The 26,161-nt window shown below is 53.1% G+C and overlaps 3 annotated features.

The window, feature by feature from the left end:
* Positions 8,892-9,075: a silencer, noted in NCBI's record as "fragment chr8:142653536-142653719 (GRCh37/hg19 assembly coordinates)". NCBI's record gives its function as "represses an EF-1alpha promoter that drives an FKBP-Casp9 reporter gene in an ReSE screen in K562 erythroleukemia cells {active_cell/tissue: K562}" and the evidence as "EXISTENCE:reporter gene assay evidence [ECO:0000049][PMID:32094911]".
* Positions 11,229-11,775: an enhancer, noted in NCBI's record as "H3K4me1 hESC enhancer chr8:142655873-142656419 (GRCh37/hg19 assembly coordinates)". NCBI's record gives its function as "activates a minimal SCP1, AML or CMV promoter by ChIP-STARR-seq in naive and primed H9 embryonic stem cells {active_cell/tissue: H9 hESC(naive and primed)}" and the evidence as "EXISTENCE:reporter gene assay evidence [ECO:0000049][PMID:30033119]".
* Positions 14,799-15,628: an enhancer, noted in NCBI's record as "H3K4me1 hESC enhancer chr8:142659443-142660272 (GRCh37/hg19 assembly coordinates)". NCBI's record gives its function as "activates a minimal SCP1, AML or CMV promoter by ChIP-STARR-seq in primed H9 embryonic stem cells {active_cell/tissue: H9 hESC(primed)}" and the evidence as "EXISTENCE:reporter gene assay evidence [ECO:0000049][PMID:30033119]".

Here is a 26,161-nt window from a genome sequence, read left to right on the forward strand (position 1 = left end):
TGAAGGTCCTGGTACAGCATCGGAAAGGTTCTGGAACAGTGTGGGTGAAGGTCCTGGTACAGCATGGGAAAGGTTCTGGAACAGCGTGGGTGAAGGTCCTGGTACAGCATGGGAAACGTTCTGGAACAGCATGGGTGAAGGCCCTGGAACAGCGTGGGTGAAGGTCCTGGAACAGCATGGGAAAGGTTCTGGAACAGTGTGGGCAAAGGTCCTGGAACAGCATGGGTGAAGGTCCTTGAACAGCATGGGAAAGGTTCTGGAACAGCACGGATGAAGGTCCTCAAACAGCATGGGAAAGGTTCTGGAAAAGCGTGGGCAAAGGCCCTGGAACAGGATTGGTGAAGGTCCTGGAACAGCATGGGAAAGGTTCTGGAACAGCATGGGAAAGGTCCTGGAACAGTGTGGGAGAAGACCCTGGAATAATAGTGTGGGCAAAGGCCTTGGGGCAGGAAGAAGGGACAGGTTTCAGAAGCTGAAAGCCATGCATGCATTGTGGCTGGGATGTGGCAGCAGTAGGCAGAACTCTGAGCTCAGGGCCCTGCAGGCATGTTCAGGAGTTTGGGCTTCATCCTGAGTACACAGGGGTACACTTGTGAGCGTCAGTCATTATTGGGTCTCTCCAGGTCCCCCTTTCCATGGAGACCTTCCCCCACAGCCAGCACTATAGCTTGGTGCAGTTTCTAGCTTCTCGACAGAGTTGAAGGTTCAGCCGCAGAGCGTGGGAGGAGAGTCAGGGTATTTCTCCTCCTCTCTGCCCATCTGCTGGTGCTGGCAGGCAGTCCTTAGCCTCCAGTGCCTGCCAGGTACCCTTGCTACCTCCATGTCCCAGTTCCTGCGGGCAGCCCCTATCACGTGGTGCGGGGTGGCCTGGAGGCTCTGGAAACCTGCCCCGCTCAGCTGGGCTGGGTTGCTGTGGGTACTGATCCCTGGGCAGCCTCTGTGCTCCCTGGTCGGCTCTCAGGTCCCTGCGTGGACATGCGTGGCCTCACGTTCCCTCTCTCTGGAGGCCTTGGAGGGTTTTCTGTCCTGTCTGGATCCAGACTGATGCCTTCCCTTTCCCTTAAGCTAGTTTGAGTTGGGTTCATGTCACTCAAAGCTGAAAAAATCCTGACTCTGCCTCTTAGGAACTTACGAAGAGGGTGATGGGAGTTGATTTGAACTTTCGAGGAGTTCCTGGATGTTGGGGAGTTGGAGGTGGGGGCATTCCTGGCAGAAAGAACTGTAGATGCAAAGTCATTAAGTGCAAAACAGCCAGAGCGGGGTCCTGCTCTCCAGGGGACATTGGCCATATCTGCTCTGTCAAAGTCCTGGGACATGTTTTAGTGTCACCACTGCAGTTGGGGTGCTACTGGCACCTTGTGAGTTGAGGCACGGATGTGGCTGAGCACCCAGCTGTGGGCAGGGTGGCCTCATTCTGGCAACTGCCTACCCAGGTGTCACTGGTGTGGAGGGCGAGACACCTGCTGTTCACCAGTAGGGACAAAGGGATGCTCTCATCTTAGGCATTGCCCTCCGAGCAGCGGGCAGCAAGGGGTGCCAGGAGGTAGAGGCTGCACAAGGGGCTGCCTTACTCTGGGGAGCACCCAGCCTGGCTGCCGCATGGGCAAGGCGGAATGAGTAGGTGTGATAAGGGCTCGCGGAGCCTGTGCTGGATCTGGGGCCAGGCAGGGGCACTCGTGTATGGAGCAGCGGTCAGCATGCTCAGGGCCACTAGGCAGGTCCCTGGGTGGTACCTGTCGGGGAGCAAGCAGGAGGGGCAACTGCTGGGACCCTGGAATGCCAGGCCCCGGACTCTGGACCAACACCAAAGGCCACCGATGGAGGAAGGACCCTGCTCCCAGGCCATGCGCACGGACTCACTCCTCCAGCTCCGAGCTACAGCCAGGCACAAGGGGACTTTGCTGAACATACGCAATCTCCCTGCTGCAGCTGCTGCCGAGATGGCAAAGTGACGGGTGAGAATCCTGTGCGCTCCTAGCACCGAGCCTAGCACCCTTCCTCCCTCCTTTAGGGAGGAGCTGCTTGCCTCAGTGACGGTGGAAAATGCTCTCATTTGAAGAACGAGATAGGATCCGGGGCGCCTTGAGAAAAGACACTTCCTGCATTCAGTGGCTTCCAAAATTCATCAAGAAATCACACAACAGAGGGGTTCAGAAGAGGTGTTCCCCGGCAGTCAGGGCCGTAGAAAGACCAGGTGAGAAAAGATGTCCCCTGGTAGTCAGGGTCATAGAAAGACCAGGTGCTGCAGTGGCGCTGGCTGTGGGGAGTTTCTGAAGTGCCAGCCAAAGGCTATCGGCTCGGGGCAGCTCAGCCATGAGCAGGCCCTGCATTGGTCCACTGGCATGCATTTGTCATGAGACCTGAGACCTGTCCTCGGCTGAGCCCCCAACACCGGTGCTGCCCTCTGTGGCCCTGTTGGGAGGGTGGAGGGCAGGTTTTTTGGTAGGAGAATGACAGGTCTCACTCAGGGAGTGAGAAGGGGTCAGTGGTCAGTGGAACGTCCCTGCGTGGTGCTGGCCTCCGAGAGGGTGAGGGTGGGCACTGCCAGGCCCTTGCTGCCCGGGCTTGGAGCTTGCAGTGTCAGCCCTGTCACATTCTGTGGGCCGCAGAGGGCTGCAGACTCAGGGCCGGGCAGCTGTTATGACCATTTCTTTTTTTCTTTTTTGAGGCAGGGTTTTGTTCTGTCACCCATGCTGGAGTGCAGTGGTGCAATCATAGCTCACTGTAGCCTCAACCTCTAGGGCTCAAGCAATTCTCCTGCGTCAGCCCCCCAAGTAGCTGAGAACACAGGTGCATGCCACTATGCCTGGCCAATTGTTAGATTTTTGTAGAGAGGGCGTCTCATTATGTTGCCCAGGCTGGTCTCTAACTCCTGCGCTCAAGTGATTCTCCTGCCTTGACCTTCCAAACTGCTGGAATTACAGGAATGAGCTACTGACGCTACCTCTTAATGAAAGTGGCTGCAAAATGCTGTGTTCATGATTCTCAACACCCCACAGTGGGGACAGGCGAGGGCTAGCACAGTGACTGGGTGGGCCACTGAGGGAGGTGACAGGTGCCCCCGGGGGGACCCCATGTTCCCCACCAGCCTGTGATGGCTTTGACCTGGAAGGCGTGGAAGGCTCAGCAGGAAATGTCTGTGACATGTGCACAGCTGGTGGGTGTGACTAGGGAGAGCAGGTGGAGGCAGGGAGATTGCAGGGGCCTCCTCATTTATTCAGCACTTATTTATGAGGCATCTACCATGGGCCAGACTCTGGGGCACAAGTAACTCACCCCTGCCCTCATGGAGTTGATATTCTTTTTGGCAGGGGGAGGCAGACTGACTCAAGTGACAAGCTCAAGCGTGTTGTCCCTGGCGAGGGAAAGGAGTAGGGCCTGGGGTGGAGCACGCAGGATGAGGCAGTCTGCGAGGGCTGCCTGGAGGAGGAGACAAGGGAGTCAAGACTTAAGAGATGAAAAGAAGCCAGCTTCCCTGTGAAGAGCGCAGGGATAAGCATTCTGGACAGAGGAACAGCGTGTGGGGAGGCCTGAGGGCTGGATGCCGGCGATAGCGAAGCTTCTGGAGGGAAAGTGAGAGGGAAGGAATTGCAGCTGCTCCAGGGTCACTGGTCACCTTTAAAAATGTTTCCAGATGTGAGTTTGTGTCTTTCAAGTCTGTTTTTGCATGGAAGTTGAGGTTAAATACAAGCCTGTTTATCTGAGGGACGTGGCCTTATCTGGGCCTTTGCCCCAGGTGGGTAAGGCTCACCCACTTCCCTGTGTGCAGGACGACTGGAACAGTAGAAGGTGTGACACCTGCCTGGGCTCAGGCCAACACTTCCTGCAGCCCAGGAAGTGTTGTGGACACGTGAGGACCACACCGGCATGGGACTGGATGGACTAGCGGCCAGATAAGCCCTGGCTGGGCTCCTGCAGCAAGAACACGACAGTCCCAGGAGGTGACTTAGGCTGTGGCTCGCTCTGTGGTGTGCGCTGGGTGGGCCATGGGCTGGGAGCAGCTGTGGGGAGGGGTCCAGCACTGCCGTCGAGGAGCCTGCTCAGGGCAGCCTGCAGGGTTAAGGCGGCAGCTGGTGGCAGCGGGTTCGTGCCCTGAGGAGCTCCTGAAAGCATCTGGGGAGTGGGGGGGTGCTGGCCTAGGGCAGGGCCTTGCTGCCCCCACCAGATGAATTGCCTGAGTGTGGCTACGTCTCTGCCGTCCGACCAGGGCCTTTCTGCAGGAGCTATGCCTCCCCACTGAGATTACAGGCTTCCAAAGGCTAGGCCAGGCCTCTACTCGAAATTTTCAGCTATCTACATGGAGGCTGGGGCTGTGCCATCTCTATCCAGCCACGAGATGCTGTTTCCATGTTTCTGGAACAAGCTCTCCCCACCCCCTGCCTTCTCTTTTTCTTAAACTTTCCATTTTCTTTGCGCAAATCCGCCTCTCGCCGCTGGTCTCTTGGTTTGATTAGAGCAGTCACTTCTAAGCTTGAAAATACCCAAGTTGAGAGAAGAAGAAAAAAAAAAGAAAGAAAGAAAGAAAAAAGGGACGCAGACTCCATCCCGCAGTTGTTCGACGGAGATTTCCTTATCTCCTGGCCACAGTCTGTGGGTCCGTGTGTGCTTAATAACCCAGCAAATCTTGTCCTTTGCAGAGAACATGACAGCCTGTCAGCTGGCAAAGCCCTTCGCGGTGGGACTGCCCTCCCTTGCAGCCTCCACCCGGGAGGAGCAGCACCTGACTGGTACAGGGGAAGAGGCCCGGCCCAAGGCTAGGCTCCTTGGAAGCGGGGTTTGGAGGGGTGCAGGGGGGAGGCTGGAGGGCATCGTCCTAGACTCGGAGCCTGCGTGGCCAGCATGGGCCTCCCCTGCAGCTCTTGGGCAGGAGGAGGGCCTAGAGACCCATGCTATAGATGGGGAAACTGAGGCCCAGAGAGGGAGCGGAGTATCCAAGGTGGGGCACAAGGCTCACCAAGCAGGACGAGGACTGGAGTTAGGAAGCTTGGACTTGGTCTTCACTTTGTCCCTGGACTAAATGTCCCCACCTGTAAGATAAGATGAGCAGGTAGAGTAAGGTGTTCTACAAGACTCCGAGGGGCCTGGTCTGAGGACACAGCCAGGGAGGCCTGGGCTCTAGGCTCCAGACTCGGCGTTTCCTGTAAGCAAGCGCCCTGTGGGAGGAGGGGGGTTTGCGCAGGGAGCAGGTGGGGTGTGCTCGATGGGGCCTCCCTATCTGGGTGAGCTGTCGTTGCACTTTTAGGAGCCTCTATCCGTCTACCACCTGCTTAGGCAGTCACTGAATCTCTCTAAGCCTCGCCTTCCTCATCTGCAAGATGGGAACAGTAGACCCTTCTTGCAAGAGCCATCGGGTGGCCTTGCCAGGATTAACCGAGGCTGGGGTGCCCAGCACACGGGAACGAGTGCTATTTCTCACTCTCCTCCCACTTGCAGAGTTCAATTAAAAAAGAAAATCCCTGACACGCCGGGTGGCTTTCACGTGGGAGATTGCAGAGTGCAGATGTGTGGAGAGGTAATTTTCCCCTCTCCTTTCTCCTCGCCGGGTTATTATCTGAGCTGGAGAATCTAGACTTGAAGTGGAGTATGGAGAACTTGAGAGAGGCTGGAGGGGTCTCTCCAGAATGAGCCCCAAATTGGAAAACTTCTCATGAGGACGGGCTGAATAAAGTGCAGTGTTTTGGTGCAAGGATGAGAGCAATGAAGGGGGACCCAGCCACGGGCTGGAGGCTCTGGGAGAGCCCCAGAGAGCCTGCAGAGGAGGCTGGGCATGGCTGTCCCCTTCTCCAGGGGCCAGGGGCCAGAAAGCAGGTGGGGCCGGCTGGCGGAGAAGCAGGGGGACAGGGAGAGACTGTGTGGGAAGGGCAAGAAGGAGCAGCGTGCTCTGTGGGGCGCCGGTGTGGGCATCAAAGAGAGTGGCCGTGGGCACCACACTGCGGGGCCTCCACTGTCGCCTGGTGGTGCCACATCCTCACTCCAACCAGATCTTCCTCCTGGGGGGTGCACTAGACACAGAGTGGCTCCCCGGCCCCCTTGGGCTAGTGGGGAGCAGGGCTGGGCAGGTGGACACAGTACGGTGGAGTGATAAATGCCGTGATGGGGAAGGCAGGACCCCACAGGTCATGTCACAGGGACTTGGACTCAGAACATGCAGACCCCCTGCAGGTGGGCTCCCTGGAGCTGGAGAGTCGCCATCATCCTCACTGCCTTCTTCTTCCTCCTCCTCCTTCTCCTCCCCATCCTCTCCCTCCCACTCCTCCCCCACTCTACCTACATAGCAGCTGCATCGGCACCTACCAGGTAGATTTGAGAAGAAATTCTTGCTGGGATGGGCGATGGGGCCAGGACCCACCAGAGCTGCTTGAAGCCCATCTGACTGGCAGCCCCCCAGCGGCAGTCCCAGGCAGGAGACTGTGCCACTTGCTCATCGTGGCTACCTGCTCTGGTGTCACTGCTTCTGGAGCTGGAAGATGTCTGCATTTCCATAGGTGATTAATAAAAAAAAGGCTACAAGATGAGAAAATCGCCCTGGCCACAGGCCTCAGACTTATCTAGCGGAAATCAGATGGCCCTCCCATTTTCCCTGGAGCACCTCTGGTCTCCAGAGACTAAGTCCCAGTGACGGTGACACTCTCTGGCCCCCATGTGCATGGCCGGGGCGGCTGAACTAATGCAGACTGAGCATTGTCTAAGGGGCCTGGTCTGGGTGAGCCGAGTGCCCAGAGCACAGAGCCTGACATAGGGCTGCTGCGTGCTGTGGCCTCAGAGGGAGGTGCAGTCCCATGGCACCGGAAGGGAGGGTTAGGGGAAGCGAGGCCAGGGAGTAGGGGAGAGACACAGAGGGGCATTCCTGAGCTGGCGGCAGCTGCACGGGAAGGTATAGCTGTGTCTCCATCATGTAGAGCATGTCCTGAGCACCCCCCAAGTGAGAATGTGGTGCTGGGGAGGAAGACATGGAGGGCGCCTGCCAGCACCTGCCCCCACTGGTACCGAGGCTCCCCCATCTCTTACCCGCCCCTCTGGGGAGATTCCAGCCTCACAGCAGTGCCCCCGTGGAGTCTGGAGGCGGGGTAGGAGTGGGCCCTGGAGAGTCTGCAGCTGTGGCTGTGACAGGCCTGGCCCTAGCCCTGGGGCAGACAGGGATAGTTGGGTATTAGGAGGTGGGTCCCTGGGGGCAACAGCCAGGACTCCCCGCTGGGCAAGGCAGGAAGCACAGGGGCAGGTGGGCTGTGACTCAGAAGGGCTCCGTGATCACATCTGTGGGAGCACCGGGGGCTGGCACTGGGAGAGACGCTCAGTCCAGCTGGAGGGGGAGCAAGGGGGCTTCCTGGAGGTGGGGGTGCCAGAGCTACACCTGCAGGAAGAAGAGGATTCAGGTGGGAGAAGAAGGTGAAGGACTCTAGGTTGATTTGGACTTTTTTCCTTGACAGTAATGACCTGCTTCCTAATTAGGGAGAGAAATGGGGTGGGGAGAGGCTGTGGATGGAGGCGGATAAAGCCCCAGCTTCTTCCGCAGAGAGAGTGCTCCTCACCGCAGGGCAAGAAGGGGGCCGCAGGACCAGGCTTTCCTGTTCGGAGGCGCCATTTCCAGCCCTGGAACCACCCACTTCTCAGGCTTCTCTGGGCCACGTACACCAGGCAGACAGCGCAGCCTGGGCCACACCTCAGAGGACCTGCGAGGCCCAGGGACCGCAGGGGACCGTCAGTGGGTGAACTCTGGAGTTCAGGGTCCTGGGAGGGGTGCAGGGTGGAGGGTCCCCTGCTGGCCTCTGTTCTACAGGTGAAAAAAAGGGATGACTGGGGCCTGCCCCTCGCCACTCCACCTCTCTCCGAAACTCACATGCAGTCACACTGCCCTGAGACACCTGTCCCTTTCAGAGCTGTCCTGGCTCATGGAGGGGCCACTTGATTTCTCAGCTGTCATGAGTTACCCCAAGTACATAACCTTGCTTTTATCTCCTCAGACAAAGGTGCCTCCATGGCTGCACTGACAGTCTCCAGCACAAGAGAGGAGAAACAGCATCGGAGGAGACAACAGTCTCCCTGCGTATGCAAGACACGGTGCGGAAGTCATCTCCCCAGCATCTCAGCCCCTGCCCACTGCTGCTTGGGACAAGGTCAGACTGCCCCAGGCAGAGAAACAGGGGACTCCACACAGGGCTGGCCAGATGGACGCAGGCCGTGTTCGGCAGGACACCACGTGGCGGGGTTGGGTGCTTGCTGCGGACACATGGGCTGGCAGCCTCTCCGTTGTGATGTTGCTGACAGCTGTTGATGGTCAATACCCCGTCCGTTAGCTCACTGGAGGCCGCAGAAAGACGATGTCATTTTACTTTTCTCCACAAATAAGGATTTCCCTGCCAGGAAGAAATGAGGGCTCACATCACCCTCCTTGTGGTCGGGCTCCTCAGGGATGCCCAGTGCCAACACTCTGTGCGGTCCTTCTGGATCTTTCTCTGAGTGTGATGCCTCCTAGACAGCTCTCTCTGTTCCTTTCTTTACAAAACAAATTGGATGGCATTCAATGCATTGATCTGTGGCATGCTACATTCACTCCAGGTTATAAATTATGAACATTTTCCATGTCACTGCATAGAGAGCTGCTCAGCTTTTATCCATAAACATTTCAGAGTGCATCTCTGAAAGATGAGGGCTCATAAAAATATGCAACTGCTACACCCGTCTCCCACCTAAAGGGAAGAACGGTATTTTTTTTATAATGTCCTCTGCCAGCCAGGCTTCCAATTTCTCTGATTATATCATGAATACTTTTTAAACAGGATTTTTAAAAAAATATTTTCGAAATGAGGCCTGCAGACATCCACAAGAGGCCCCTCAGATCTCCTAGTTCACAGGCATCCCCTCCATCCCTCCCTGCGTGCTCTTTTCTCTTTGCAGGTAAGCTGTGGGGGAGGCAGCCCGTGTCCTGGGAGCTTCCAGCTGGGACCCTGATGACACATCCCTGTGCAGTCCCAGTCCTTGGTGGTGAGTTCTGAGCCACAGCAGCGTTGGGCGCTGGTGTTCCTTGGTGAGGAGGTGCAGGGTAGCTGCCTGTCCCTCTCCTCCGTGACATTATCCGCCATTGCCTGCCACATCCCCCAGTTATCAGGGAATCGCAGGATGATGATGAGAGTTTGTCAGCCTTCTGCGCTCGTTGGCTGGAATGCTTTCCTATGAAGGAGCGTTCCCTCGTCAGCTGTTGGCGACGTGGATGTGTGGTTGTGTAGGACGGACCGTCCGGAGACACGCTGGATTCTCTGCCTTTATTCGCTAGCTTCCAAAACAATAAGCTGGTGGTCTTGCCTCCTCCAACGCTTGCCCATGAGGGTTTTCATCATTCTGAATGTGTGAAGTTGCACGTATTTGATAGGTTTCAACCCACTGGGGTTAGGATCTGTGTTGATATGTAATTCCTCCCGTCTTCGGCTTGTGGAAAGCTCTTCGACTCGATTCCCGATGGTTTTGACATGATTCCAGAAAGCTTTGATGGCTTCCTTGCTTTGGGGATGACAAGAAGCTCCAGGCTCCTCTTGGACATTTCCTGGCCCAGCCAGGTAATCGGACATTTCTCCAAGGAGCTTGACATGGGGACGTGGTCTCAGTCCCTGGGCACCAGGAGCTGAGCTCTCACTGCTCCTGGGCTGGTTTGTTCCCAGGCAGGCTAGGAAAATTACTTTCTTAAAGATTAAAAAAAAAATCACAAATTTATGCAGATACTACCCGATCCAACATAGGCTTGCAGGATCTTACGCAATTTCTTCACTTTATGCTTGTACCTCCTTTCTCTCATGCTGACAAACTGGTTTCCCCAGACTTGGAGAGGTCAATCGTGTTATTATTTTATCTTTGAGTAAATGCAGTCTTAGAATAGCCACCGATATTATTAGTCACAATATAATTCCTGGGAATTAAATTCTCTATTTTTATTTTTGCTTTTGCATTTCTTTCCGTCCTTAGGGTCTAACCCGCAGGAATATCCTGTAAAATTGCTGTGTTTGAAGCTTACATCAAATGATTCCCTCCGTGTGGTCATGCTACCCACTCCATATATGGTTCTATTTTGCTTTTAATTTTTAGGGATTATTTTTTCAAAAATGTAATTTTGTTGTGTAATTACACGAATGTTGGCTGGGGAGATTCAGAGAATCCTGGCTCTGGTCCCGATTCCCTCCGTCCTGTCCCGTCCCTCTCCTTTTTTTTTTTTATTATTATACTTTAAGTTTCCTCTTCTTACATGTTTTCTCCTTCAGTGTTTGCTCAGGCCCTCCATTGTGTTTTAAATATATGCAAATGACTGTCCTTTCCCTGGCCCTCCTATTTGTGGGCACCCTGGCTCAGCTCCTGCACACTTGCCCCTCCCTGTTTTTCTTTCTTTCTTTCTTTTTTCTTTCTTTCTCTTTCTTTCTTTCTTTCTTTCTTTCTTTCTTTCTTTCTTCTTTCTTTCTTTCTTTCTTTCTTTCTTTCTTTCTTTCTTTCTTTCTTTCTTTCTTTCTTTCTTTCTTTCTTTCTTTCTTTCTTTCTTTCTTTCTTTCCTTCTTTCCCTCTCTCTCTTTTTTACTTTCTTTCTTTTCTGAGACGGAGTCTCGCTCTGTTGCCCAGGCTGGAGTGCAGTGGTGTGATCTCGGCTCACTGCAAGCTCTGCTTCCCGGGTTGGGTTCACGCCATTCTCCTGCCTCAGCCTCCCAAGTAGCTGGCACTACAGGTGCCTACCACCACGCCTGGCTAAATTTTTTGTATTTTTAGTAGATGCGATTTCTCCTTGTTAGCCAGGATGGTCTCGATCTCCTGACATCGTGATCCGCCTGCCTTGTCCTCCCAAAGTGCTGGGATTACAGGCGTAAGCCACTGCACCTGGCCCTCCTCCCTGTTTTTCTTACTAGCAGCATCCTAGAGATCACTCCCCATAGTCACCCCATCACCTTTTAGTGACGCCAGGTCTTTAGCACAGGGAGGAAGTCCTGCAGGAAGGCTCCCTCCCTCCCCACTCCCTCCCTGCAGCCTACTGGCTGTGATAAAGGGGACCCTGGAGGGCCCAGGTGGCCCCCGCTGTCTTGGCCTCAGCTCAGCTCCTGCTGTTGCCTCCGGCTGGGGTCCCCTCGTCGTCCTCATTTGTGGGCCCTGGTGCGTCTGACACCCAGGGCTGACCTCTTTGGGTTACAATCTTTGCTCCCCTGTGTCCCCACTCCAGAGGGAACTCAAGGTGACCAGTGTATCTTGTGTCCCTGTCCCCCGGTCCCTCAGTGACCAAGGATGTCCCCAGGGCTGAGTTACACTGAGAGCCATGGCAGCCCAGGTAGCCTCTGAGATGGCCGCGGAGAAGGCTCTTGAAGCTGGGGCATCTAAAGGCCTGGGCCTCCCGTCCCTGGTGGCACGGAGACCTTGGCCCTGTCTGCTCAAACTGTAACTTCTGTGGCCCCAGGACAACTGCACCCAGTGGCTCTGGCTTCCCAGGCTGTGCTCCCTGAGTCCTCCGGCCACCTCCCGCCTCCGAGGCCTCAGACTCGCTCAGGTCGCCTCACTCAACCTCAGCAGACATGGTAGGCAGCATCTGACCCTTTCCCAACTGCCTGTCTCACATTTGCAGAGCAGATGGACTCCCCATGCCACTGCCCCTGACCTCCCCAACCCATCCCACAGGCGTGTCCTAGGGTGAGCCAGGAGCTGTGCACTGCAGGAAACTGCCGAGAAGCAGGCACGGCAAGCACCTGCAGCGAACGCATGCCTGCTCTGCCATGCCGCCTGCCCAGTCCCGGAGCCCAGCCTCCCCTCCCCGCTGTCCGAAGCCTTTTTGCCGTCTGATCCCTCACTCCAGGCCCCCCTGCCTCTCGGCACCCCCTCCGCCCCAGCCACCCTTGCCTTCCTCCCCTCTGGATCCTAGCTCCCCGGAGACGGAGCTAACACCCACAGCCGCCTCCAGCCCTGGCCCCCGCCCAAGGCTCCTGGGGCTCATCTGGCCGCCTCTCCCCTCTGACAGAACAGGCCCTGGGAAGAACCCGGACCTCAACCCAAGCATCTGGGCCTCCTGAAGTTCACTCTCGGTGATGTCTCTCCCTGCACCCTCCTCACTCCAGAAACTCCCTCTTGGTGATGGCTCTCCCTGTAACCCCCTCACTCCGGAAATGGGTGGATTTCTGACAGCTCTTCTCCCTCACCCCTGAGCCCAGCAACTACAACCCTGCACATCCCTCCACTCCGTAATATGCCTGGAATCCATCCTCTTTCCCCCTCCATGCCACCCACCTCCCCACAGAATCCAGGCCATCTCTGATCCGAACCATTGCCGAAGCCTCCCCAGGGGCCTCTGGTGCCCCGGTGGCCCCCCTACTATCCATCCCACACCAGTGACTGGGGGATCCAATCATGCCCCCTGACTGATGTCCCCCATGGCCTCCAGGGCACCTGAGATAAACCCCCAAAGGCCTCATGGGCCGGCAAGCCTGGGGGATGTGGCCCTCAACTTACCCTCTCCTTTCACGCCCGCCTCGCCCTCCATGGCCCTCCCTCACTTCCCTTGGTTAACAGCTGCAGCCATGTGGGTTTCAATTTTTCCTGCTGTCCACATTCTTCTCTGCACAGGAACTTGGCACATGCTTCCTGGTGCCCTGTGCTGGCAAGCTTCTTGGGGGCCCCTTGATCTTACTTTAAATATCTTTCCCTGGTCCCCAGTTCAGCTCAGGACCAGTTCTTTTATTTTCTCCTGTGTCCTGTTCCCTTCTTCAGAGGGCTCTCATAGCACAGTGGTTGGGAGCAAGACTGAGGCTCTGGTACCAGGTGCCTGGGTTCAAATCCTTGCTCCATGCCTCACCTGCTGTGTGACCCTGGGCATGTTACTTAACCTCTCTGTGCTCAGTTTCATCACACATAGAGTGAGAGCGGTGATAATAATAGCACCAATAGTTATGAGGTGCCAACCTAAATAACACAGAGGGAGGCTCTCTCAAACAAGATGATGTTTATTTGGGAATAGGCATTATTGGGAATCCCCAAGCCACAGAAAGCTATGTGTATCTTCAGGGAGGTAAAGGAAGACGAAAGTTTTTAAAGGAAAAATGAGGAGGATTATGTAATTGTTTTGGGACAATTATCCTTGGCTACCAAAATCAATAACAAGGGTGGCGTCAGTCTGAATTTGGACAGGAAGTTGCCGGGCAGATGTCCTTGCAGAAGTGTTTGATGAGACCCTGAGATTGAACATCAGCAGGCGAGGGGGTCCCTCTTCCCTGCTCTGTTCTGGTCTCAGAGGCTTGCTGCGTCCACCGGGACAATGTGACTTCTGGCATGTGGGGTTCTACCCGTGCACCAGGCATGCTCTAGCTGCTTTGAGGGTCTTATCCCGCTGAGCCTCATGGCAACCCTGTGAGAGGGCCAAAGCACAGAGAGGGTAAGGAATCTGCCCAAGGTCACACAGCATATTAGTGGCAGAGTCAAAGTTTGAACCAGGATCCTGGGTCCAGCCATGCTTCCTGTCTCTTTATTTTGCTCCCTTGGCTATGCTTCCTGTCTCTCTATTTTGCTCCCTTGAGCTCAGACATGCGTGACGTCTTGAATCCTGCCCTCCTGGCCTGCAGCCCATGCCCACCTGAGCCAGGAGAGCCATCTCTCCATAATAGAAACTTTATCCCAACTGTCAATGCTTCCTAGCCTGCCCTCTGACCTACTTTTCCAGACCCATCTACTGTTATCCTTTCCTCTCTCTCCCTAGAACTCAGCGTTAATCACTTGTCCTAAAAGACACCACCACCATCTTATGTCTATGTAAGGGCGATGTCCTCCCAATCCTCACTGTGGCAACTCTTATACATCCTTCAAAACCCAGCTCGAAAATGCTTCCTCTTCAATCGCCCCCTGATGCTCACCTGCTTCAGCAAAGTTAGTCGTGCTGCCCAGAGCATAGCCTGTGCCTCAGCCTGCAGCCTGCACCTCTATGTAGCTGTGTGGCCACGGGCCAGGTGTGAGTCTTCCTGAGCCTCACTGTCCCTCATCTGGAAAACAGGGGTGATAGTAGTAACACCCGCCACATGGAGGGTGGCTGTGAGATGGTTCTGCAGCATCCGGAACAGGGCTTACTCCTAGGGCCTGGTTATGGTGACAATAGCAATCACCGTGAGTGGTCTCGGGGCCCTCAAGCTCCCCCAGGCAGCGGGCATCATGGGGACAGCAATGGCTTCTTCTTTGCTGCACCCAAGGAGTTGGTGACTTGGGGATCATCACAGGCTCCGCTTGCTTAGCTATTCTCCAGACCACCAACCCGAGGGGCTGGAAGTCCATGGCGGCTGGCGTGGTGCACCCGGGAAATCTGGAAGTCTCGAATGGTCTGTGGATAGCTGGCATGCTTTGTGCAACGTGGGAAGCCCAAAGGAGATTTTAAACATCTATGGGGGGCGAAGTTGCCCATGGGCCCCGGCCTCTCAGCTGGCGCGCTGCTGAGTCTCTGGGAGCCCCGCGGGACTCGCCCGCCTGCCACACCTGCAGCTGGGCTTGATGGTGTGTACAAACACCCCATTATGCCTGATTACCAGCCATTAGTGCAATTAGGGTAGCCCCTCCGCGTCCCGGGGCTCCAACCAGCTGTGCCGGGGACCTGGGGCAGAATAGCAAACAGCCTCCTCCAGAGCCTGCGCACTGGCTGGCGGGGCCAGGGAACCGTGGGCTGAGGAGTCCCCCTGAGCCTGCTTGGAAGGCTGGGGCTCTGGAGCATGGGGGCCACCCAGTGGGCCGGCTCCTCCTCCTCCCCATTCTTTGCGCTGCTTTTGTGCTGCCTGATGCTGTCCTTTCCCTCCCAGATTGTCACCCTGAGCCCTCCTGATGTGTGGGGCAGGGAGTCTTTTCTGGGGCACCCCATGACCTGTAGGGTGTCAGCTCCATCCGTGGCCTCCACCTGCTGGAGGCCAGCAGCATCCACCTCCCACAGTTGTGTCGACCACAGATGCTTCCAGACATGACCAGTGTCCCCTAGGGGCAGGATCAGCCCTGGCTGAGACCCACCGTCCTGGGTCTCAGCTGGTCTTTCTGGCCATCACTACCTCGTGCTTGGCTTCTGTATTTGTGTGTTGCTTTGCCAGCGCTGCGCTGGCTCCTCTGCCTGTTCCCATCCTCCCTCCCTCTCTTTCATCCCTCCAGAAGAAGCCTTTCAAGCCCAAACTCACAGTCACCTCTGACCTGTCGCCCCCAGGGATGCCCGAGTCAGAGAGGCGCCACGTTGTTGCTCCCCTGACCACGCACACTAGCACGCAGCCCCAGCCTGCGGGACTTCAAAGGGCCATTTGAGGTATGCACTTGACCAGGGAGGAAGAAAAGAGGCCAGTGGCTGTTTGTTCTGGGACTTGGGATTGAGCTGTGGCTCTTCAGAGCTCGGCTGGTGGGCATCCTCTGTGCCCGGCCCTGCAGCCCTGGCCCTGGCCCCACCCCTGTGTGCTGATCACTTCCCACTCCCTGCTCATAGCGCCGCCAATGCGTCACTGTCCTGTGTTTTAACCGCTGTATTTCACCAATTCTAAGATAATCGCTTTCCCACATTTTAACTGGCAGGAAGTTGGGATGCATAGTATGGGAGTTGGGGTCTGACAGGTGCTGTCTTCTGGTGGGGGTCAGGACTCAGCTGCCGCGGCCTGTGTGTGTATGAACTTGAACTTATGAGGTATTGGTTGCAAACATGCACGTGAATCTTCACCCCATCTTCATGTATTTTGTGGCATATGATGCTGATGCTTCTCCCATAAAGAAGTGGCATCAGTTCCCAAGGTCTCCCTGAGACAGAAGGGTTTTAGGAGACAAGGGACTTTCAGAGATAACACTGGGAAAATTTGAGCAAATTGAGGCAAGCTCATCCTATTTGTCCTCCAATCCTTGAATTGGTGTTGGCCCTGTGACTGGGTTTTGCCCGTAGACCGTGGCTGACCAGTTGTGTGCTGGTGAACTGGGTTCCCGCTCCTGAGAAGCCCAGCCCCTGACTTGTAGCGTATTTCTATGGTGCCAACACCCCCACTGCAGCTGCTTGCCAGCCACCAATGTGATGCCAGGGAACTCATGAGGTGCTGGGAGGTGAGGTGCACACCACTGTCTGGCTGCACGCTACCTGTGGCAGGAGTGGCCTTTGTGGGTTGAGTTACATTGTGGGCTTCTGCTCCTGGGACCCTGCAACTACCCTGTGGGCAACCGGGGGCCAGAGGCAGCTGCTGGAGGATGAGACCACGCGGGCCAGGCCACGCTGCCCCAGCCAGGACCCTGTGCACCGGCCCACAGCCAGCCTGCCCCCAGACACATGGGAGGCCAGAGCTGCCCACTCAATTCACAGCTGAACTCAGATGCAGGATGAGGCCTGCTGACAGCAGAACCACATGTGGATCTGTACACTTCGGAACTTGTTGTTCAATTCTGTTGTTTTAAGCAACATGTTGCTTTAATTGTATTGTATGGTGCAATTCTTCATTTCAGGGTGGTTTGTTATGCCGCAGCAGCCGGCCGAGGCATCGCTGTTCATGCTGCCTTCCCTTCAGTTGAGTTCCACGTGCTGTTGACATTGCCCGGGTCGGGTCTGATTGCCGCTTTGAATTGCTTTAAAGGCGACACTCTGATTCTGCATAGAACGGGACTTACCACACAGAAGCAAGGACAGAGCAGCAGGGCTCCCTCTTATATCAGGGAAGCAAGTGTTCATCCTGGAGGAGATGACCATGGCTCCATATTTTTTTTTGTAAAGCATCAACCAGGCGCTTTATGTGCCTGGGGAGCTCTGTTTAGTACAAAGATGTACACAAAGGCTGCCTAGGGCAGGATGAGCAGAGCAGCTGGAGGCAGGAGAAATCGCCGAGCACTTCGGAAGAAATGGAAGCAATTATCCAGCCAGGAGAGGCTGCCGTGACCCTGAGTGCGCTGTGCAGGACTGTCGTAGGCCCCATGGTATCATGTCACTGGCAGTGTCTGAGTGTCACACAAAATCATGGCATCTTAGAATCAACGGTATTTTCAATTTGACAGAATAGAGTATCAATGACGTATGTCCTGTACCTTTGCTATAGACCACCAGCCCCACATGGGCGAGGACCTGGGTGAGGACCTTGGCACAGGGGGTAGAGCCGGAACGTGTGACCAAGCAGACACGAGGGATTCCAGCAGAGGGGATGTCAGATGAGGAGCCACCGCCTTGACCCTCGCTCCTCCCGCCCCTGGGGGAGCCAGGTCACACTGTTCATCTCTCTGTTCCCTTGTTTCTCAGTCGTCTCACCCTCAGAGCAGCCCTGAGACAGGGCAGGGCGGTCACCAACACCACCTGTTTTGCAGCTGAGGAAACAGAGGACATGCAGCAGAGGGGCTGGCTTCTCGGGGGTGGCCTGGGCAGTCCCAGGGGCTACATGCAGAGGGACTGCATGCTCAGTTTAATCCTCTGCCGTTGCCTTGGTTTTGAACCAGGACCCCGTATTTTTATTTTGCACTGGTCCTTGCAAGTTGCATAACTGACCCTGGGGACCAGGCTTCCTGAGGGCTCATTGCAGCGCCAGGGTTAGAGCCCAAGGCTCTGGCCCCAACCCAAGCATATTGCACAGGGGACTCATCGTAGCACCGGGACTCAGGGCCACCGCCAACTGCGTGGCCTTGCCCAGGCCTGGCAGATAGTATGGGTGGTCACGTTCCTCCACCCATGGCCTCTTTCTGGCAGGACTGAATGAGTCCACGCTAGCTTTGTTTGTGCTTCAGCATCTGGCTGGTGTTTGCAGGATCCTCGTCTTTGCTGTCGGCATCGTGTGAGCTGCGGCAGTGCACGGCAGCCGAGGAACCCAAAGAAGGGGCCAGATGTGGCTGCGGGTCCCACTCTGCCTCCCTCTAACCCCGAGGTGGGCCTCAGTGACCGCGGACAGCCTAAGACCCTAAGGGGCTTCTCCACCTCAGCCCTCAGCATCCAGACACCGACTTCCAAGGGGCAGAGGTGAAGGGATGACCTTGAGTCACGCTGGAAGGTGACCGGTGCTAATAGACACTTATTTCTAAAATAGCACTGTATCTCCAGCAACCGGTTATTAACTCGGGGAAAGGGAATGCTATTTCAGGCCCAACAGCGGAAAACCATTTTCCTTTAAGAGCTTTTCCTGAACTTTTCACACAGGTGCCCCCATGAGGAGCAGGGATGGAGAGCTCAGCCCCCTCCTCAGGGTCCCGGGAGAGCAGCCACGACTGACGGGGTGAGCCACGAGCACAGGGGCAAGGGGACAACCTGCCTTCAGTGAGTGGCTCTGAGGCTCCAGCACGTGGATCCAGCATCTCAGCCTGTGGCCAACAGGACAAGGGCTGCACCTGGCCATCCATATCCCCTCCCTCTGCCCTGAGTACCTGTTCTTCAAGTGGCTGGCAGTTAGGATTTATGTTTATAGCTGGGGTCAGGGCCTAGTCTAGGATTAGAGTCAAGGTTCAGCCCATGTTCAAGGTCAGGACTTAGCCTGTAACCAGGATAAGGGCTCAGCATGTAACCAGAATCAGGGCTTAGCATGGGTCAGGATCAGGGTTCAGCATGGGTCAGGATCAGGGCTCAGTGTGACCAGGATCAGGGCTCAACATGTGATCAGAATCAGGGCTCAGCATGGGTCAGGATCAGGGCTCAGTGTGACTCTCTGAGGGGTAGGAGTGGGATCAGGCATCGATCTGAGGCTGGAAACTAGGGCATGCATGCCCCTGGGGGTCACTCTGGTCACTGTGTTGAGTCTGCCCCCGAAGAGCTGTGCAGTTCTCAGGTCCCCGCAGCCCAGGCAGCTCTGGGAGAATTGTGGTCTGGGAGGTTTCCTGGGCATCAGGGGAGAAAGTGGTGTCTTCAGCGTGGTTTCCTCTCTGGCTAATCCCTTCCCCAACTCCAGCCGATGGTCCTGGTAGGGTTGATCAGGTGGGAGGAGGCCTGCACCTTAAGTGGGTGCTGGAGCCAGCCCCAAGTGAGTCTGTGGGTTCCCCTATGCAGCAGGCCCGGACTGCAGAGTCTAGACCCTCGGAGGGAGCATCCAGACCCCAGGGGAAGGAGAGGGGAGAGCCGAAACCAGCTCCTTCACGGGACTTTGTGTGCACATCCCTCCCCTCCTTTGGGTGTTTGCTGCGAAGCAGGCAACAGGCCTCTATTAAAACTGTTCATCAAAGGAAAATGCAAAACCAGGAACAGGAGGGAAGGTAGGCACATGCAGGGCAAGCTCACCTGGCCAGGCCAGGCGTTTCCTGCAGACTGGACCTGGGGGGTCGGAAGGGCCTCCTTTCATACATGGTGGCTTTCTGCCTCAGTTTCTGCACAGTGCTCAGTCTTGGAAGGCACAGGGCCAGGCACTTCTGGATAATGGTGGTGAACGCATTCACAGAACTTACCGAAATGCAGGCACTTGTCCCTTCGCCAGTTTATTCTCACAATAACCTCTGAGGCAGGAACTACGATTCTCATTTTACAGATGAGGAAATTAAAGTGCAGGGAGGCTAAGTAGGTTGCTCAAGGTCCCACAGCCAGCAAGAGGAAGGTCTGCATTTTGAACCCAAACAGTACAACTCCAGGGGTCATGCAATGAACCCCCAGTTTCCCTGCCAGGCCACACTGATGGCATCTGCTGGCTCTGGGGATGGGTCACAGACCCTCAAAGTGTACCTGGACCTTAGTCAGTGCCAGCTGAATGCACACAGGGGGATGATACAGCTGAGAATCATCTTCAGGCCTTCCCTGGTCAATTCTGGGGGTCTCTGCCCAGTTTCGAGTCCCATTCCAGCCTGAGCAGAGGAAGGGACTCCAATCTGAGAAAAACACAAGGCCCTGATACCTCGCCCCAGCCACGCCACGTCTACTGAGAGTGAGAGTGGGGCCAAGGGTTGGCCAGGCTGTGTTCTGATCATCACCCTGCTCCTTACCGCTGGGTGATCTTAAGCAAAGCACACAGCTCCCTCTAGCCCTTATTTCCTCAGCGCTGAAGTGGCCATCGGCATCTTGTCCACAACCTAGAGTTTTCCTACATGATTCAACGAGGCAGTGGACTCCGGGTTGCTCTGAAGACTGGAGGTGCCACCTGGAGATGGGCTTCCCTCTGAAACAGTGGGAGGGGAGTGAAGAGGAGGAAACTCTCGTCCACCATGTTAGGGATCTGTCAATTTTATTGATCATTTCAAATAACTAGCTTTTTGTTTCATTGATTTTCTCTGTTGTTTTTCTGTTTTCAACTTTATTGACTTCACATCTTACCTTTATTCTTTCCTTCCTCCTGTTTGCTTTGGGTTTATTTACTCTTCTTTTTCTAGTTTTTGAAGCAGGAGCTTAGACTATTGATTTGGGATGTTTCTTGTTTTCTAAGGTAAGTATTTAGTACTGTAAAATTTCCCCTAAGCACTGCTTCAACTGTGTCCCACAAATTTTGATGTGTTGTATTTTCATTTTTATTTGGTTCAATGTAGTTTTAAAAACTTCCCTTCAGGCTTGCTCTTTGACTCATGGATTAAGTTATTTCCAAGTGTCTGGAGATTTTCGTGTTGTCTTTCTGCCATTTATTTCTAGTTGGATTCCATTTTGTTGGAGAACACACTCTATGATTTCAATTATTTTTAATTTGTTGAGGTTTGTTTTATGGCCTGAGGCAGGTTCTGTGTTGGTATATGTTCTGTGGGCACTCAAAGAGAATGTGTATTCCATTGTTTTTGGGCGGAGTGTTCTACCCATTGTTGATTAGATCCTGTTGGTTGATGGCATTGTTCAGTTTTTCTATATCCTTGCTGATTTTTTGTCTAGTTGCTCTATTACTATCACAGGAGTACAGAAGTCTGCAACTGTAATTGTAGATTTGCCTATTTTTCCTTTCGGTTTTATCAGGTTTTGCTTCATATATTTTGCACCTCTGTTGTTTGGCGCATGTGCATTTACGATTGCTAGGTCTTCTCAGCGGATCGACACTTTTATCATTATATATTGTCCCTCTCTTTGTCTCTTCCTCTCATTCTTTCCCTTGGCCTATTTCATCTGACATTAACATAAACAATCCTGCTTTCTTATAACTGTTTGCATAGTATATCATTTCCCATGCTTTTCAAACTGTCTATATTACCATATTGAAAGCAAATTTCTTGTGGGCAGTTTATGACTGGGGCATGTTGTTTAATCCACTCTGTTATCCTGTCTTTTAACTGATGTATTTAGCTAATTTACATTTAATGTAATTATTGATATGTTAGGACTACCATTTTATTTTTGTTTTATGTTTATTCTTTTTTTTGGTTTCTCTCTTTCCTCTGTCTTGCTGTTGGTTACTTGAATAGTATTATTAAAAATGTCATGTTTCATCTATTTGTAATGTTTTTGAGTGTATCTCTGTATTTGAGTGGTTACTCTAGGTATTACATTATACACACATACGATCACAGTATACCGGTGTCATTGTATTATCAGCTCAAGTAAAGTGAGGAAAACGTACCTCCTTATATGCTGCTTTACCTTCCCCTATTTGTACTATGATAGTTTAAAATATTTTCTGTACATAAATTTCGAACCTCAGACACAGTGTTATAATATTTGCTTCAACTTTCAAATATGATTTAGAAAATGTAAGAGAAGGCAAATTTATTGTATTTAGCCATATTTTCAGTCTTTCTGTTGTTCCTTCTTCTTTCCTTGTCTCACAATTTCTTCTTTTACTGTTTCCTTTCTGCTTAGAGAATCTCCTTTAGCCATTTTTTAAGCATATGTCTGCTGGTGACATTCTTCACCTGAGAGTGTTTTGATTTCCTTTTCATTCTTGAAGGATGTTTTGCTGGATATATGATTCTGAGTTGATGGTTTTTTTCTTCTTTCAGTATTTGAAAAATGTGTCACTTCCATCCAACAACCATGATTTCTGATGAAAAATTCACTGTCATTCTACTTGTTTTTCCCCTGTAGATAAGATGTCACTCTTCTCTGGCTGCTTTCAATATTTGTTTCTCTCTCCCTTTAGTTTTCAGAAGTTTGACTATGGTGTGTCTTTATATGAATTTCTTTTTTTTTTTCCGATCATCCTGTTTGGGGCTTATACACCTTGAATCTGTATGTTTACATCTTGAGACGTTTTAGTCATTATTTCTTCAAGTACAATTTTTCAGCACCTCTCTCTTTCTCCTCTCCTTCCAGAACTCTGATGACAGAAATCTTTTGTTATTGTCCACAGGTACCCAAGGCTCTATTAATTTTTTTCAGTATACTGTCCTTCTGTTGCACTATTGTTCTGTCCTTAAGTTTTGGACTCTTCTCTCTATCCTCCTGACCTGCCGTTGAGCCCATCCATGGAATGTTAAAATTTCAGTTATTGAATTTTTCAGTTCTAAAATTTTAATTTGATTCTTCTTTATATCTCCTTCTTCTTTGCTGAAACTTTCTATTTCTCTGCTGATACTTTTTATTTTTTCATTTGTTACTTGTGTGTAATTGTTCACTGAAGCATTGTATGATGTCCGCTTTAAACTCTGTCAGACGATTCTAACATCTTTGTCAACTCAGTATTGGCATCTACTGCCTGTTATTTATCATTTAATTTGAGATCGTCCTGGTTCTTGGTATGATGAGTACTTTTTGATTGAAACTTGGACATTTCAGAGATTATGAGACTCTGGATCTTATTGAAACCTTCTCCACTGACACCCTGCATGGGCTTTGTTACCACCTGGCAGGGATGAAAATCTTGGCTTTCCACTTGGCCTTCTCTGAGACTACCCTAATAGGAGAGGGAAAGGAAGATGTGGCAAAGGACACTCAGGAAGAAGATGCCAGAAGAGAGAGAAGAAAATGGAAGAGACAACAATAAGGAATATAGAAATTAGAGCCACTACCTCACATATTGAGAGGGAGATTTCCAGAGAGAGAGAGAGAGTGAAATCAAGGCATAGATTCATAAAGATATGACTTAGTGAGACAGAGAGACAGCCCCACATCAGCAGAGATGGGGGCAGGAGAATTCAGGGCCACACATACAGCCTGGGGGCTGTAAGTGAGCCAGAGACCTTCCTTCCACCTCCAGAGAAAATAAGGTGCTCGTCTCAGAGAGAGGCCCCAAAGACCTGGCTGGTGAGTCCTGAGATAACCTGGAGTTCTTCTCCTAGAGAAGAAAGCCTTTCTGCCTCATCGCCCCTTCCCCACCCACTCATCTGTTTGCTCATCCACAGGTCTGAGGTGGGCCCTTCTTTTGTGTCTGACTCTGAGGGGTGGGTAGCAGTGGCAGGCTCTCTGTCTCCTCAAGGAAGTGGATTACGCAGAAGGTGTGGGTTATGAAGCCTGGTGGCTCCAGCAGTGCCCCCTGGCTAGACCTTTCACTATGCTGGGCTTCTAATCGGGGATTGCAGCTACTGGCTACCATTTTCCTGGTGCACCAACTTGTTGCAATGAGAAGGAACTTGACTGAACTAATTTCAGCCCAGCCCAACACAAATCACTAATCTTCAGAAGCCTCCCAGACAATTCTTCCTCTCAGATGTAGGAACTGTAGTGTCACAGGAAAGGGAACAACATGATCTTGAAAGATATTACCAAAAGTAGACAGGTGAGAGACACCCACTTTCCTCCTCTTCCTAAACTTGAACTGGATCCCACATCTCAGGGGATCTGGGAGAAGAAGTGTGCTTTTCCTTAAGGCAACATCACCATCACCATCACCATAATCACCATCACTATCATCAGCATCATCATCACCATCATCATCACCATCATCATCATCGCCACCATCATCACCATCACAATCATCACCACCATCACCATTATCACCATCAACATCACCATCATCGCCATCACCATCATCACCATCACCACGGTCACCATCATCAGCATTTCCATCACCATCACCATTATCACCATCATCATCACCACCATCACCACCACCATCATCACCATTACCACCATCATCATCATCACCATCACCATCACCATCACCATCCTCACAACATCAACACATAACAATGATAACAACAAACATTTGTTGAGCACTTATTATGCACTAGATGCTATGCTAATCATTGTATTTACATTATTTCATTTTCTTTTCACTATAACCCTATAAGAGAGAAAATATTATTTTATTTTTTTCATATGAAAAAACTCAAACTCAGAAAGGCTAAGTAACTTGCCTGACCTCACGCAGGTAGCTTGTAGTGGAGCCAGGATTCAAACTCTAGTCTGTCTGACACCATAGACTTGGCCCAGCAGGAGCTGGTAATCACAGACCCTTCTCTGCACTCTACATAAGCATGCTCCTGCAGAGGTTGGGGGAGCCTGTAGTTCAGGACAGGTTGGCTGGAGATCAGCCTTGGGTCCCCTGCCTGACCTGCACCCCTGCCCCCATCACTGACCCATCCACGTGAATGTTCTTTCTTTGGACATCGTGCAGCCAAATGTGGATGGAGCTCTTCTCCCTTCCCTCAGCTCCTTTTGTTTTCTTCCCTTTTCCCCATTGAATGTTGCACAATGTTCAGCACGTAATGAGCACCAAGATCCCCTCATGGACAGTGTAAGATTGTCCTCAAACCTTTCTCATAGATAATGGAAGATGGAGCTGATCCAAGGAACTCGAGCCAGCCCATTTGAAGAATGTGTCTTAGGCTCCACGTCCACACTGGAAAGAAAGTGAGGCTCCTTCGTCTCAGTGTCCTTGTGTGAGGCCTCGGGGAAGATGTCTGATTGGCCTGTACGGGGCCCATGTCCTAGCAGGGGTGGGGCACCATGATCACTAGCCCCATCTGGACCCTAAGGAGAGGGGACACCTGGGCCCCACAGCACAGGCAGCCCTGGACTCAGGTCCTGGCTCAACGATTTATGACAATCGGGTGAGTGTCTGCACATGTTTAAACTTCAGTTTCTCCATTTTCAAAGTGAAAATCCTAGGGACGGTGTCACAGGGCTATCGAGGTGATGCAGTGCCTGGTGTAAGGTAGATGCCTGCTACCCACACGTCACCCTCCTGTCTCTGGCCGGCTGTGTTTTCACTGGTGCATGAGGCTGGCACGTGGTTGTCCCTCAGGGCTTCTTAAAAAGGGCAGATGGGAACCCACTCATCCATGTTTCTAAAATCAGATTCTAGCAAAGGCCGCTGAGGGCTGCTGCCATCTTTCCTTGTCACCCAGCAGCTCCCTGGGAAGCCAGAATGCCCCGTTCAGAGAGGCCTGGCAGGGGGGCCTCTGCATGTTTCACTGTGAGACCCTGGAGGAGAGCTGCCTTGCAGGTGGCATTGCCCGGGATCATCCTGTCGCAGGGCTTGCGTCTCTGCCCTCTCTCTCCCCGCTTGTCAACAGCAGGCATGCCAAGGAGCCCTTCACTGCTAAGTAGCTCGCAGTGGCAAGGTGAGAAAATAGCAGCAGCTGACATTTTCCCCATGTGTCCCCAAGCAACATTAACCCCACTGAGTCACTCAACAACACAGAGATGTGGGGAAGGCGAGGACCTGTGTTTTACAGATGCGGAAATGAAGGACTGGATGGTCCCCAGAACTCTCCACTTCACCCCAGATGCCTTCTCTCCGTACGGAGTGAGGACGCCTCAGAGGCACCCCGCGCCTGGGCTCATCCCTGCTGCAAGTCCTCTGGGGCTCCCCCAGCAGCCTCCTGCCAGACAGCCCCCTCCGGCTCCGGCCTGTGATCAAATCCCGGCTCTGTCCTCAGCAGCGTTGCTCCTGGTAATTTCTTTGCCTCTCTTTGCTACGGTTTCCTAACTTGGACAATCTGGCTGGTGGGTTTCCTCTGTGAGGTCTGGTGAGGAGGCTGTGGGTGAGGAATGAGCAGAGGTTCCCCTTCCAGAATCCAAGCCGCTTTCCATGCCGGGTGCTTTATGCTGTCGGCTCATTGGATTGTGCCCTCAACTCCACAATGAAGGGGTTGTCCCCATTTTTAGATGGGACAGTTTCCCCCTGAGGTTTTGGAGATGAGGGCCAGGCTGGCTCGGGAGCCCGGCAGTTGGAGGCTCCCGCTTCTGTTGTGCCGCTGAGGTTCTCGGCAGCGGTGCCTGCCCAGAGCCCATTAGGCCGAGCCCTGGGAGGTCCTGGGAAGAAGTGGTGCTCAGGCCAGCTCGAGGGAGGGTGGGAGCTTGGCAGAAGAAAGGCTTAAGAAGCTCCAGGTAACCCTTGTGCGGGGAGAGCTGCAACAGGCCTTACTGGCTGTGCCTGTCTCTGGCCCCAGCGTCCAGAGCAGAGCAGCCTGCCTTCGGCTGCTTCCAGGCATC

This window comes from Homo sapiens, chromosome 8, assembly GCF_000001405.40.
Source record: "Homo sapiens chromosome 8, GRCh38.p14 Primary Assembly".
In the NCBI taxonomy this organism is placed as follows: domain Eukaryota; kingdom Metazoa; phylum Chordata; class Mammalia; order Primates; family Hominidae; genus Homo; species Homo sapiens.